Here is a 14,505-nt window from a genome sequence, read left to right as displayed (position 1 = left end):
AAATCAAAGCAAGAGAAAAGTAGCATTTCAGAAACAAATCAGTAGAAAACCCATGGATATGCTCAATTTGCATTCATGAGTTATTAGGTAGGTGGGGTTTGAATGCAACAAGATTGCTTCACATATTTTAGAGTAAAAAAAGAAACATTTCCTTAAGTCATTTACCAACAGAAAAAAGATGTTGCAGTTTGAATTAGAGTCAGTTATGCTTATTGTTTGTGCCAAATTTTTTCTCATTCCTAATATATAAGATAAATTCATTTAATATTTTAGTTGGCTTATAGCACAGTAATACATTCTGTATGTGTACTACATGTCACAGTAGAGTCACATTTTCAGATAAGAACTAGTACACAGATTACTATGAATACTATATACCACTCTGTATTATTTATGCTCATTTATTATTTTGGGCTCTTTAAGAAGTAATGTTTGCTCAACTGCATGGTAATTTCCTAACAAAATTACATTTATGGAAACTTTAATGCATACAAAGTCTGACCCAGTTCAGGTACATTCAGAATAAAAATAGTCAAATGTAGGTAAATTAGTTATTTAAAATATTTAAAATTAGCATTTAAAAGCAAGTAATCAACACTTGTGATAAAATAAATTTTTATTTAGCATATTATGAAAGTAATAGTACTCATAGCATATATACTTTGGGTCACTTTTTCTTTTTTTAAGTTTTTTTTATTTTTAAGAACAGTTTTAGGTTCACAGCAAAATTGAGAGGAAGGTATACAGAGATATCTCATTTAACTCCTGCTTTCTCTCATGTGTAGCTTCCTCTATTATTTACATCCTCCAAAAGAGGATTTAACATTGTAACATTTGAGTAACATTTTGAGTTGTAACATTTGTTACAACTGATAACCTATATTGAAAGATTTTTGTCATTCAAACTCTATAGCTTACATTAGGATTCACTCTTCCTATGGTACATTCTATGGGTTTGAAAAAATGTATAATGACATGTGTCTACCATTATGATATCATGAGGAGTATTTTCTCTGCTCTATAAATCCTCTGTGTTCAGCCTACTTACCTTCACTCCTCTGTTAATCCCTGGCAACCACTGATCTTTAAAAGTTCCTTAAACTCACCAAGAAGAAAACAAACAACCTGATGTAAAAATGGGTGAAAGACTTTAACAGACACCTAACCAAAGAGGATATACAGATGGGAAATAACATACGAAAATATATTTCCCATCATATATCATCCAGAAAATGCAAACTGAAACAACAATGTGATACCACGACATATTAGAATGACCAACACCTAACAACACCAAATGGTGGTGAAGATGTGAACAAAAGAAATTCTGATTTATTGCTGGTGGGAATGCAAAATATTACAGGCATTATGGAAGCAAGTTTGACAGTTTCTTACAAAATTAAATGTACCATAAAATCTAGCAATTGCACTCCTTGGTATTTACTCAAAAGAATTGATAACATATCCAAACAAGTATGCATATGGCTGTTTAAGGCACCTTTAGTCATAATTGCTAAAACTTGGAAGACACTATAATGCCTTTAAGTAGGAGAATGTATAAACTGTGATGTATCCATACAATGGAATATGATTCATTGCTAAAAATAGATGAGCTACTAATCCATGAAAAGACATGGAGAAAGCTTAAATGCATATTACCAAGTGAAGGAATCTGAAAAGACTAAATACTATATAAGTCTAATTATGTGACAATTTTAGAAAGACAAAACTATGGAGTTTTTTTATGTTGAAAAAAAGAAAGTTACTTTCCAGTATTCACTCATTTCCATTGATATTCTGTAAACAGTCATTTTAATATATAATGTGCAAGTTGGTTTCTAGATTCTCTATCCTCTTTCATTGATTTATTTATGTCTTTTGCAATATCTCAACTAGTGTAACATACCAGTGAGTCCTGAAATCACATTGTGTATTTTCTACAATTTTATTATATTTTTCTAAAAAAGTTTTGTTGTATATTTTAGGTCCTTTCTATTCTATATAAAGTTTTAAAATTAGCCTGTCAAATTCTATAAAAAATCCTGACAGAATTTTGACAGTGGCGGACTTTCTTCTATAGATTACATTGAAGTGCATTGATAACTCAAAATAGTGAGTCTGTCATGTTTTGTAAGAGACTTAGCACAACTTTTATTAAAAGTATTTCTAAGTGTTTTATGTTTTTGATATATATATATTTGCTTTTATTAAGAAACACATTGATTTGCACTCTGTATATAATTTTATCTTAGTTCACATTTACAGAAAAGTTGCAAGGATTACACAAATAAGTCTTCATTTGGATTCACCAATTCCTTACATTTCCTCCCATAAAATTTATGACACTGATCTTTTTTTTCTGAGCCATTTGAGTGTATTCATGTCTTGCTAGTTTACCCTAAATTAGTGTGTGCATTTTCTTAGTACAACAACATTATCTTACACTACCACAGTGCAATTATCAAAACCGGGAATTATATCATAGATATAATACTAATATCTAACTTTAGTCCATACTCACATTTTGTCAATTGTCTTACTGATGTCCTTAATGGCTCCTTGTTTTCCTAGTCTAGAACAATGCATTACATTTAATTGCCAATTCTTTTCAGTCTCATTTAACCTACAAAATTATGTTTTTTCTTGCCCTTGACATTTAAACAGTACAGTCAAGTTAACTTGTTGAATGACTTTTAATTTTGTTTTCTGTGATAATTTCTTATAATTGAATCCAGTTTATAAATTTTTGGCAGAAATACTACAGAAATAATATTGTGTTCTTCTCAGGGCACAATATCAGGAAACACATGATATTGGTTTGTTCCTATATTGATATAGATAAAATTAGATCACTTTCATAAGATAGTGTCTGCCAAATCTCCTCACTGTAAAGTTAATATTATTTTTCTTGGTAATTGGTATGTTTTATAAGAGATATTTCAAGAATATAAATATAAATATTTTAAAACATAAATATCACATACATGAAAGTAATTATAAATATCCGGTTATTCATCACATGTTCACTAAGTAGTTTTAGCATCCACAGGTACCTTTCTAACTCCATCATTCTCTCCATCATTGACATTAGACGCTACACAGTAAGAAGTAGTTTTAACATTCTTTTTATTTATGCATTTATCAATTTATAGTCAAAAGGGCTCATGGAATCCTATTTTATCTAACAGATTATATTTTGTGATGATTGATATTTATTTTAATCCCATAATTGTCCCAGATTTGACCAGCAGGAATCCTTCAATCTGCTTATCATATTATTTTTATATGTCTCTTCATTCTTTGAATGCTTATTTACCTTTTGTTATAGCATGATTCTCTAAGCTCATTTCATAGTTTCCCTGACCCAGCTCTGCAATCAGCCTTTTCTCTGATTATTTTATTTTAGTAAGATATGGAATTTAAAAATCAAAATATAGGTCTATGTGTACTCATTGCTAATGCTATATGTGTGCTACTAGTTCTTTGCTGTCAAATATAATAGCTACATCAACATGTGGCTATTTTAATTTAAATATAAATCGGTTACAATAAATACTATTTAAAATCAGTTTTTCAGTCATACTAGCCACATTCAAAGTGCTTAATAGCCAAATGTGGCTAGTGATAGGATAAACAGCACAGATAGGAAACATTCTGTCATCACAGGAAATTCTATTAGATAATTCTGTTCTAGACCCACTCAGTGAAAAAAGCTAGAAGATATATGCACACACATATATAAACTAAACACATACATGGATTGAGCATTCCTACTCCAAAAATTCAAAATCCAAAATGCTCCAAAATCTGAAACTTTTTGAATGCCAACATTATGCAATAAATAAAAAATTCCATATTTACACTTGTATTTCTGATGGCTCAACATATACAACTTTGCTTCATGCACACAATTACTTAACATATTGTATAACATTACCTTGAGACTATGTATATAAGGTGTATATGAAGTTTAAATAAATTTCACGTTTAGACTTGGGTCCCACCTACAAGATATCTCATTATGTATAGGCAAATATTTCAAAATACAAAAATACCTGAAATCTGAAACACTTCTGGTCCCAAGCATTTTGCATAAGGGATACTAACCTGTTTATAATATACATATATACATATGTGTGTGTGTGTTTATATATATATATATATGATTTCAGAGTTCTTGCTATAACCTCAATTACATAAAACTTTCTAATTTTCCCCTTTTAAGTTTTAATTTACAAATCCAGTAGTGAAAATGTTGTCTCCTATTATTGTCAACATATTTCATATTTGTTTAAACATGGAAGAGATGGAAAATAGTTCACAATTTCTAACCTGTACTATAGTAAAGACAAAACTGGGTAAGAGGAATTCAATGTATTTTTTTAAAGTTTTGAGGCAAAATTTCCATACACTGGAGTTCTAATTCTGATCTATAGAGGATAAGCTCACCACAGCCTATCTTACCTGCTGATGAGTTTGGTGTTAAAATAATAGCGCTGCAACTAAAAATTCTGGTAAGAAAATAATTTGAGGACTCAGAAATTAAATAAAAGAAGGCAGCTGGTAGAGGGAAGACAGCACCTGAAGAAGTAATCTGTATGAGAGTTAACTTTATTTTTAGTTATTTTCTCATGACTTTGCCCCATGTGTGGGTCCCAGTTGCAAAGCTGTAAAGTGGGAGATAAAGGTGGCCAAAACTCTGGTAGAAACCCTTTCAGCTTGTGGGCCTTAATCATAGAGCTACATGACAGCAGCAGCGTGGGTGACTAAAACTCCGAGATGATCATCATGTTTTAGCTAGAGGAACTGAAAAATGGTAGCCCTGTGGGCCATAGCATGTGAGAGGGCATCCCAGACAGTAGAAAGCTGGAAAAGGGAATCCTCTAATGCAGCAGTTCCTCAACTTTTTGGCACTAGGGACGGAGTCGGAGGATGGTTTCTGGGTGAAACTGTTCCACCTCAGACCATCAGGCATTAGAGCTTCTCATAAGGAGTGGAGAAGCTCAGGCGGTAATGCTCACTCACCTGCTGCTCACCTCCTGCTGTGTGGCCCGGCTCCTAACGGGCCAGGACTGCTACTGGTCTTTGGGCTGGGGGTTGGGGACCCCTTCTCTAATGAAATCTTACAAGCCTCAGGCTTATTCCTGAGGTGTGAGTATGTAGGACCGACCTAAATTAACATAGTAAAAGCATTGAAAATTGGATTCAGATGTAAATTACGGTCCAATTCTCAGAGTTAGCCTTGAGTGGCACATGCATCAGGCAGATGCAAAGTCATGTAATAAAAATGTGGAAGAATTACCTAGAAGACAAGATAGAACTTGCAATCTAAAACCAATCATATTGATTACCTGCTGAGGCAAACAATAAGTACAAATTTTCTAGAGGACTGCATAAAGACCTATAGTCTATACAACGTAATATTCAAATTGTCCAGGATACAATCCAAAATCACACAACATACACTAATTTGAGACATGGAGACATTTCTCAAGGGAAAAAAATAATCAATAGTTGACAATGCTGAGATGATGGATCTGTTCAAATTATCAAAGAGTTTAACTATTATAAACATGTTCTCTGAGGTAAAAGTAAAAGCACTGAAAAAAATAGGAAGGTAAAAGTTTCAGCAAAGAAATATAAACTATTAAAGATAAATAAAAAATTTAGGACAAAAGAATACAATTTCTGAAATTAAAAAAAAATCTGGTTAGGCTCAATGGCACAATGGATGTGGTTGAGAGAACGGGCATTGAATTTGAATAAGTCAATAATAATTAAGTTATAAAACTGAGAAAAAAATAAATAGAACATCAAGGACTTTGAAACAATTATTAAAAAGGTCCAATAGCCATGCTATTGGAGTATATAAGAAACATTAATGCCAACCATACTCAAAATAGCTAATACTTGAAAACAACACAAATGTCCAATAGGACAATGCTTAAAAGAACCATATACTATTTATTCAATGGAATATTTCTAACCCATAAAAAAAATCACACTATTGAAATACCAACTAATATTAGAGAATTATAAATATGTTAAAAAATACAAGCCAGAAACAAAAGATTACATTATATATTATTTCATGTATATGAACTAAAATAATAGGCAGTATTAAGCTGCAGAGATAGAAATTGGAACTTGTTTGCCTTTGGGTAGAAGGATCAGTGGTAGAAAGAAAATATTTGGAAATGGAAAAAGGAAACATTCTTGGGTGATTAAAATATTCTATATCTTTATTACATTGTTGAGTTATATGAGAGTAAGCAATGTCAAAACTCATTAAATTGAACACTTAAGAGGTATCATTTTATTGTGTGGTAATTAGATACCAACACAAAATTTAGGAGATAAACAGTTATTTATTTCACCTAGGTAATTGAAATAGTATACACTGTTTCAGTAATACATGATGATAAGTAGATTTTAGTGTTTCTTATTAGCCACGTGTATATTTTCCTTTGTGAAGAGGCAGTTCTCCTATACTCCACCATTTTTTCAACCATTAGTTTTAAATCTTTTGTTGATTTGTAGGAGCTCTTTTATATTCTTGATATAAATACTTTATCAGAGGTATGTTTTGTAAATACTTTCTCCTAATCCTTTATAGGGAAATGATTTTCTTAATGGTGAACTGATGAGCACAAGGCTTTTAGTTTGCTAATCTTTTGTTTTTATTTATAGATGTTGCTTTTTGCTTTGTGTCTCTAAAATCTTTGCCTACCTCAACATCTCAAAGATTGCCTTTGTATTCTTTGAGTAGATTTATGATTTTACCTTTTAAATTTGGCCAAATTTAACCTCTAATTATTTTTTCTATTATTAGTCCAGGAATTGTGGCTTCTTTTCTACGGATATCCTTTTGTTCCTATATATTTGATGAAAACGTTATCTCCTCATTTAATTAATTTATAGTATATACTGTAGCCTCATTGAATTAAATTATTTTTAGAATTTGTTTTGTGATTCTGGTAGAATTTTTGTATTAAAAAATCATGGTTTCTATGATTAGAAAGATTATTAATCATCCTTTTCTATCTTTATAACTTCTATATATACATTTTTAGCTTGTTATAACAAGTAGGACCTTCTTTAAAAAATTTCAAATAGACATGCTGAGAGCACATGTGCATGATTTCTTGATCTTAGGAAGACAGTATTTAACTTTTTGCTATTAATTTTGATATCTGTTGTAGGTTTTTGGTAGATAATCGTTATGAGATTTATGACATAGCTTTCTTATTTCTTGATTTTCCCAGGGTTTTTAAAAAGAAAATGTGTTAAGTTTTTTCAGAAATTTTTTTGAATCTATCGAGATATTACTTTTTTTGGCTTGTTTTTTCTCCTTTATCTGATGAATTGCATTGATTGCTTTTCAAATATTGGTCTGATCTTGCACTCTGAAGGGCCCAGGAATTCAAACCCCATGATAATATGAAAGATTGAATAAATTATTAAATTTCTATTCCTTTCTTGAATACTAATTTATTTGTGATATATCACACTTAATCATGGTGTATTGTATATTTGTATATTGCTTATTTAGATTTGCTAATATTTTGTAAAGAATTCATGCTTTAATGTTCATGAGGTTATTGATCTGTGGTTTCATATAATATCATTGTCAAGTTTTATTTAGGTGGTTAATTAGGCCATGAAATGAGATGCCTAGTATTATTTCTTCTTTTATTATCTGGAATAATTTTATAAAAATTGGTATTTTTAAAATGTTTGATGTAATCATCAGATAAGCATGTGAGCTTTTATTTTTCTGTGTGGGATGCTTTCTGATAAATTAATTTGCTTTAGATATAGGGCTTTTCTGATTTTCTAGTTTATCTTCTGTGTGATTTAGTAAATGGTGTTTTTGAAGTAATTTGTCTATATAAACTTAGTTTTTGAATTTGTTGGTGTAAAGGTGTTCATAATATCAGACAGTTATCCTTTCTAATGTGCACTGGAATCCTGTCTTTATTCATGATGTTGGTAACTTGCATTTTCTTTTTCCTTACTTAGCCTCATTAGCTGTTTAAGTATTTTAATGATTATTTTGGAGAAAAATGTTGGGTTTTATTAGTTTGCTCTACAGTTGGCTTTTTAATAAACTTCAGTGACTGCTGCTGTAATCTTTACTATATATTCAATTTATTTATGTTTTAATTTGTTTGTCTTCCTATATCTTCTCACGATAGAATCTGGGTCAAATCTGATTCTTATCTATTGGTTACCTTTTTCCTCTTTCCTTTTGGGCCATATTTTCTTGCTTTTTTCATATATTATGTAATTTTTCTTATTCCATTACAGACATAATGTAGAAAAGAACAGTGGAGTCTGAAGTAATATTGTTTGTGTTTTCCACATAGTGTAAAGCCTTTTGTTTTGGGGGTTATTGGCATAAACAAGAGTCCAGCTGATTTGGAGGCAGGCCTGCATCTTTCCTCATATTGAATTAATATCTGGGTAAACTAACTCCCAGCCAACTCTTGATTTTGACAGAGTTTAAGCTGGAACGTGGTTGCGCAGTATTTCCATGAGCTTTTGATTTGCAGTTAGCTTCAACTCTGAAGTTCCCAGGAATTCAAACCCCATGATAATATGAAAGATTGAATAAATTATTAAGTTTCTATTCCTTTCATGAATATTAATTTGTTTGTAAATTTTTGAGCTGGAGAGGGTGAAAAACTGGTGGGTTTGTTAATGTTTTTCTTACGTTGAGAGTTCTATTAGATTTTAATCTGCCCTAACTGTCCACACTGTTATTAGAATTTCCTGATTTCTCCTCTCCCATGCAAAATCCATTTCTCTATTGCAGACACACTCCTCAAACTATCTGCATCCTGGACATGATTTACCCTAGCTTTTGCTAATGTGACTCTCCAGTTAACTAGAAAGCTTTGCACTTTTCTTAAATTCAACTCATTAAGGCTTCTTTGCATCCACCAATTTCAGTAGTTTTATAGAAAAATATGACTGAATGGTTTTCTTATGTGCTTATCTACAGAAGCAAAGGAATTACAAATCCTCTTCCATACTTACTCTCATTTGAAGTTCAAAGCTACCTTTGCAAGTTAAACTGAAAGATCTTTATTAAACATTAGACTAATGCTTAATCTAATCACAAAATATTACTATTAAATTTTTATAATTATCAAGTTTCATGGCCTCTAAGTAGAAGTATTGCTGTGTGCATATATTAAACACTTTAAATATTTGGAAAATATCTCAGGTTTATATCATACGTTTTTAACAATGGTTTTTATAGCAGAACTGAAACAAAGTTATTTATCAAAAGCTAGTCTTAGTATCAGTAACATTTAAAATGGTGTAAGTAGTCTTGTTAGTGACTGTATTTTCTAAGAATGTAATTTAAACTTACCAATATCAGATCATCTCAGTATGAAAACATTCTAGCAAAAGAGCCTTAAAAGATTTGATTTTTTAAATGCTTGCTTTTGATAGACACACAATAAAAATATATTAGAAGCACACAATTATGATTTAAACATCTAAATCAGAGTTATTGCCACTAAATTCAATAAAATTAAGAAGACTATTTACATAATGGAATTTTCTGCTATAATGAAGGCAAGGAGATTCAAATATTGAAGTTAACTTTCTAAGACTTAGAGATGCTGCCTTGACTAATTATATTACTTGTTAGTTTAAATTTAAACTGACAACTTTTCTCAAATGTTATGTAAAGAGATAACTGAAAACAACCTCACTACAACTTACTCAACACTTAAAACTCCGCACTTTAAAAGTGACATTTGCCAGGCTAATGTCAATAAACAACAAAATATAATTTACAGTAAAAGTTATAAAACATTGTTAGCTAGTGATGTACTGGATTGAGTATCATTAAGCCTCCAGGGCATTTCCTAAATTAAGTTAAATTGGGTATACTGAATGAACATTTACTTCTCCCTCATGTACCTTTATTCATAAATTCTCAATACTTTTATGCAACATAATGTTCAACATAATCCATAAAGACTTATGAATTATTCATACAATTCTACTACAAATATTTAACCATTGTATTTATACAAATATTTAACCATTGTAGTAATACCAACATATATAACCAGAGAGCTAATCATTTTTGTACTCCCATCTTCACTCTTCCTGTACCGTCATATCAAATATAACATTTTTAACAATCTGGCATGTATAATTCTCTGTGCAACCAGACCCTTATATATATGATTACTTATATTTTTTCTTGCTCAAATGTAAGTTTTTTAAAAAATCTAATTAGTAATACATTCACTGCTTAAATATAATATCATAAATCTGCAACTTGCTATTTTTATTTAAAAATATACCCAGGACATCTCCAAATAATGTATCCATGAATCTAGCTAGTTTATTTTACATTTCTAATTGATATGCATATATGTTATTCATAGATAATATTTATTAATCTATTAATTTAATTTTAAACGGACACATGGATACCCCATATAAATTATGTGCATACACATAATAATACAAATTATTATTGCCTTAAAAAATAAGGTGAGATGTTACATACTTCACTATGCTTTAGATTTTTCTCTCAATAAAGGAGCATGTTCATTTATCTAGTCAATATGTATATAATTCATAGACATGTTAAATGACTACATGATGTTCTATGCGAGTCTATAACATAATTGATTAAAACATTAGTAATCTGCTAATTGATTAAAACATCTAGTAATCTGCACTTACTTTGTTCCCAGTATATAGTCACTATAAATAGCATTGTAATAAATTATTTGCATATATTTATTCACATAACAGCATTTTTAATAACGTGAGATACAGTTCCAGGAGTGAATTTTCTGGGTCAAAGAGTATGTGGAAATTTAATTCTGAATAAATGTTACTTTATTGTTACCTGTAGAGTTACCACCAGTAATATGTGACAATATAACATTTGCTCATCCATTCCAATATCTTAATCATTTCTCATATCAAATAGGCACATAAAATATTAACTAATTATGCATGAGAGAATTCTCTTAATAACACTATCAAATATAAAATTCTTTATAGTATTTCTTAAACATTTGAAATTAATTTTCTGAAAATTTCATATTTGCATATTTGGCTATTCTATTTACTTTTTCTTGATAATTATGGATGTTGATTTTTAATTTTGAGTTTATGGTAAAAATATTCTTTATCACTTGATTATTTGTCTATTATTTTGAGTTGTATATTATTAACTAGTTCAAGTTTATTTCTTTCCAAAAAATAGTATTTGCTTTCATAGTTATATCATTCCTTTACTGTCCTTAAGATCACATTTCTGTCTTTTCTAATTTGTTATTTTTCCTATTTTTTAAATTTTTATTCTTTCATATTATGGTAATTTCTGTTCATGAATTTTCATCTGATTATTGACATAGTCGGATTTCATTAAATTTTACACAAGTATCTTTGTACTTTGCATTTCTAAATATTCTACAATTTCACTTTGATTCTCATTTTGATAAAATAATTGTGTCATGCACACACATACAGCATCAAATATACTTGCCTTTAATTAACATGTAAATTTTTATTATGAATTTTTAATATTGTATTTATTAATTTCAAATTATATTGCATTTTATCAGAGAAATAACATATTATCTTTGTCATTTTTGAAGATTATAATTTTGTCTTGGCAAAATGTTTATGTTTAAAAAAACAGAGATTCTTTACTTTCAAGGTATAAATTTCAACATCTATTAGATCTAATTTATTACCTGTGATATTTACATACTGAACAGCGTTATATTATCTTTCTAATGTTATGATCTTCAGACAACTGATAAGTAAAGTTCTGTCAAAATGTTCTTATTCTTATGAGTTAGCTCTAATTTATATATTTTAATGCCACATATTTGGTATGAAAATATGCCACAGATTGATCACCTTTGTGCTTTTTAAAATTTTCCTGCTTTGATTTTTTTCAGTGTTAACAACTCTTACTTTTGGTATTGTTTATTTGTATTCATTAAATATTCATTTATTTATTATTGCCAGTAATTTAAAGTGGCTTTACTTTAGATGAATTTCTAGTAGCATTTAGCATTATTTTTCATTGAGTCAGGGAATAATAATTAAACTGATATCCAGTTTTAATATGGCTGATTTGTTTATATCAATTTCTGGTGCATATTTTATTACATATATATATACACATGTATATATATACATATATACACATATATATGTATATATACACATATATGTATATATATGTACATATATATGTATATATGTGTATATATGTACATATATATGTGTATATATGTATATATATATGTATATATATACACACACACACACGTAATATTTTCTTTTTCCACTCATTGACTGATGGGCATTTGGGCTGGTTCCATATTTCTGCAATTGCAAATTGTGCTGCTATAAACATGCATGTGCAAGTATCTTTTTCATATAATATCTTCTTTTCCTCTGGGTAGATACCCAGTAGTGGGATTGCTGAATCAAATGATAGATCTATTTTTAGTTTCTTAAGGAATCTCCACACTGTTTTTCATAGTGGGTGTACTAGTTTGCATTCTCACCAGCAGTGTAAAAGTGTTCCCTTTTCACCACATCCATGGCAACATCTAATATTTTTTGATTTAATTTTGGCCATTCTTGCAGAAATAGAGTGATATCACATAGTGAATTTGATTAGCATTTCCTTGATCATTAATGATGTTGAGCATTTTTCCATATGTTCATTGGCCATTTGCACATCTTTTGAGAATTGCCTATTCATGTCCTTACCCACCTTTTTGATGGGATTGTTTTTTTTTTTGTTTGTTTGTTTTTTTCTTGCTGATTTGTTTGAGTTCTTCGTAGGTTCTTGATATTAGTCTTTGTCAGATATATAGGTTGTGAAGATTTTCTCCCACTATGTGGGTTGTTTGTTAACTCTGTTGGTTATTTCTTTGGCTGTGAAGAAGCCTTTTTGTTTTAAGTTCCATCTATTTCTCTTTGTTTTTGTTGCATTTGCTTTTGGATTCTTGGTCATGAAATCTAAGTCAGTGTCTAGAAGGGTTTTTCTGATGTTATCGTCTATAATTTTTATGGTTTCAGGTCTTAGATTAGTTTTTGATGTATTTTTAGTTGATTTTTGTATAAGGTGAAATATGAGGATCTAGTTTTATTCTCCTATGTGTGGCTTGCCAATTATCCCAGCACCATTTGTTGAATAGAGTGTCCTTTCCCCACTTCATGTTTCTGTTTGATTTGTTTGATCAGTTGGCTGTAAGTATTTGACTTTATTTCTGGGTTCTCTATTCTGTTCCATTGGTCTATGTGCCTATTTTTACCCCAGTACAATACTGTTTTGGTGACTATGGCATTATAGTTTGAAGTTGGGTAATGTGATGTCACCAAATTTGTTCTGTTTGCTTAGTCTTGCTTTGGCTATGTGAGCTCCCTTTTTGGTTTTATATGAATTTTAGGATTTTTTTTTCTAGTTATGTGAAGAATATTGGTGGTATTTTGATAGGACTTGCACTGAGTTTGTAGATGGCTTTTCGCAGTATGATCATTTTCACAATACTGATTCTACCCTTTCATGAGCATGGAATGTGTTTCCATTTCTTTTTGTCATCTGTGATTTCTTTCATCAGTGTTGTTTAGTTTTCTTTGCAGAGGTCTTTAACCTCCTTGGTTAGGTATATTCCTAAGTATTTTATTTTGTTATTATTACTATTTTTTTGCAGCTATTGTAAAAGGGATTGAGTTCTTGATTTGATTCTCAGCTTGGTCGCTATTGGTGTATAGCAGAGCTACTGATTTGTACATTAATTTTGTATCCTGAAATTTGCTGAATTCATTTACAAGTTCTAGCAGCTTTTTGGATGAGTCTTTAGAGTTTTCTATGTATACAATCATATCATCAGCTAACAGGGACAGTTGACTTCCTCTTTACCAATTTGGATGTCCTTTATTTATTTATCTTCTCTATTTGCTCCAGTTATGACTTCCAGTACTATGTTAAATAGAAGTGGTGAAAGTAGGCACCTTTGTCTTGTTCCAGTTCTAAGCAGGGGTGCTTTCAACATTTCCACATTCAGTATAATGTTGGCTGTGGGTTTGTTATAGATGGCTTTTATTACCTTGAGGTATCTCCCTTCTTTGATGATTTTGGTGAGGGTTTTAATTATAAAGTGATGCTTAATTTTGTCAAATGCTTTTTCTGCATGTATTGAGATGATCATGTGGTTTTTGTTTTTAATTTTGTTTATGTGGTCTATCACATTTATTAACTTGTGGATGTTAAACCATCTCTTCATCCCTCATATGAAACCCACTTGATCATGGTGGATTATCTTTTTAAAATGCTGTTGGATTTGGTTCACTAGTATTTTGTTGAGAATTTTTGCATCTGTGTCCATCAGGAATATTGGTCTGTAATTTTCTTTCTTTGTTATGTCCTTCCCTGGTTTTGGTAGTAGGATAATACCGGATTCATAGAATGATTTAGGGAGGATTCCC

At 30.2% G+C, this 14,505-nt stretch overlaps 1 annotated feature.

The window, feature by feature from the left end:
- Positions 4,898-5,399: an enhancer, noted in NCBI's record as "H3K27ac hESC enhancer chr3:164038591-164039092 (GRCh37/hg19 assembly coordinates)". NCBI's record gives its function as "activates a minimal SCP1, AML or CMV promoter by ChIP-STARR-seq in naive H9 embryonic stem cells {active_cell/tissue: H9 hESC(naive)}" and the evidence as "EXISTENCE:reporter gene assay evidence [ECO:0000049][PMID:30033119]".

This window comes from Homo sapiens, chromosome 3 (genome assembly GCF_000001405.40).
Source record: "Homo sapiens chromosome 3, GRCh38.p14 Primary Assembly".
NCBI classification, from domain to species: Eukaryota; Metazoa; Chordata; class Mammalia; order Primates; family Hominidae; genus Homo; species Homo sapiens.
This window is presented reverse-complemented; position numbering and strand designations above follow the sequence as displayed.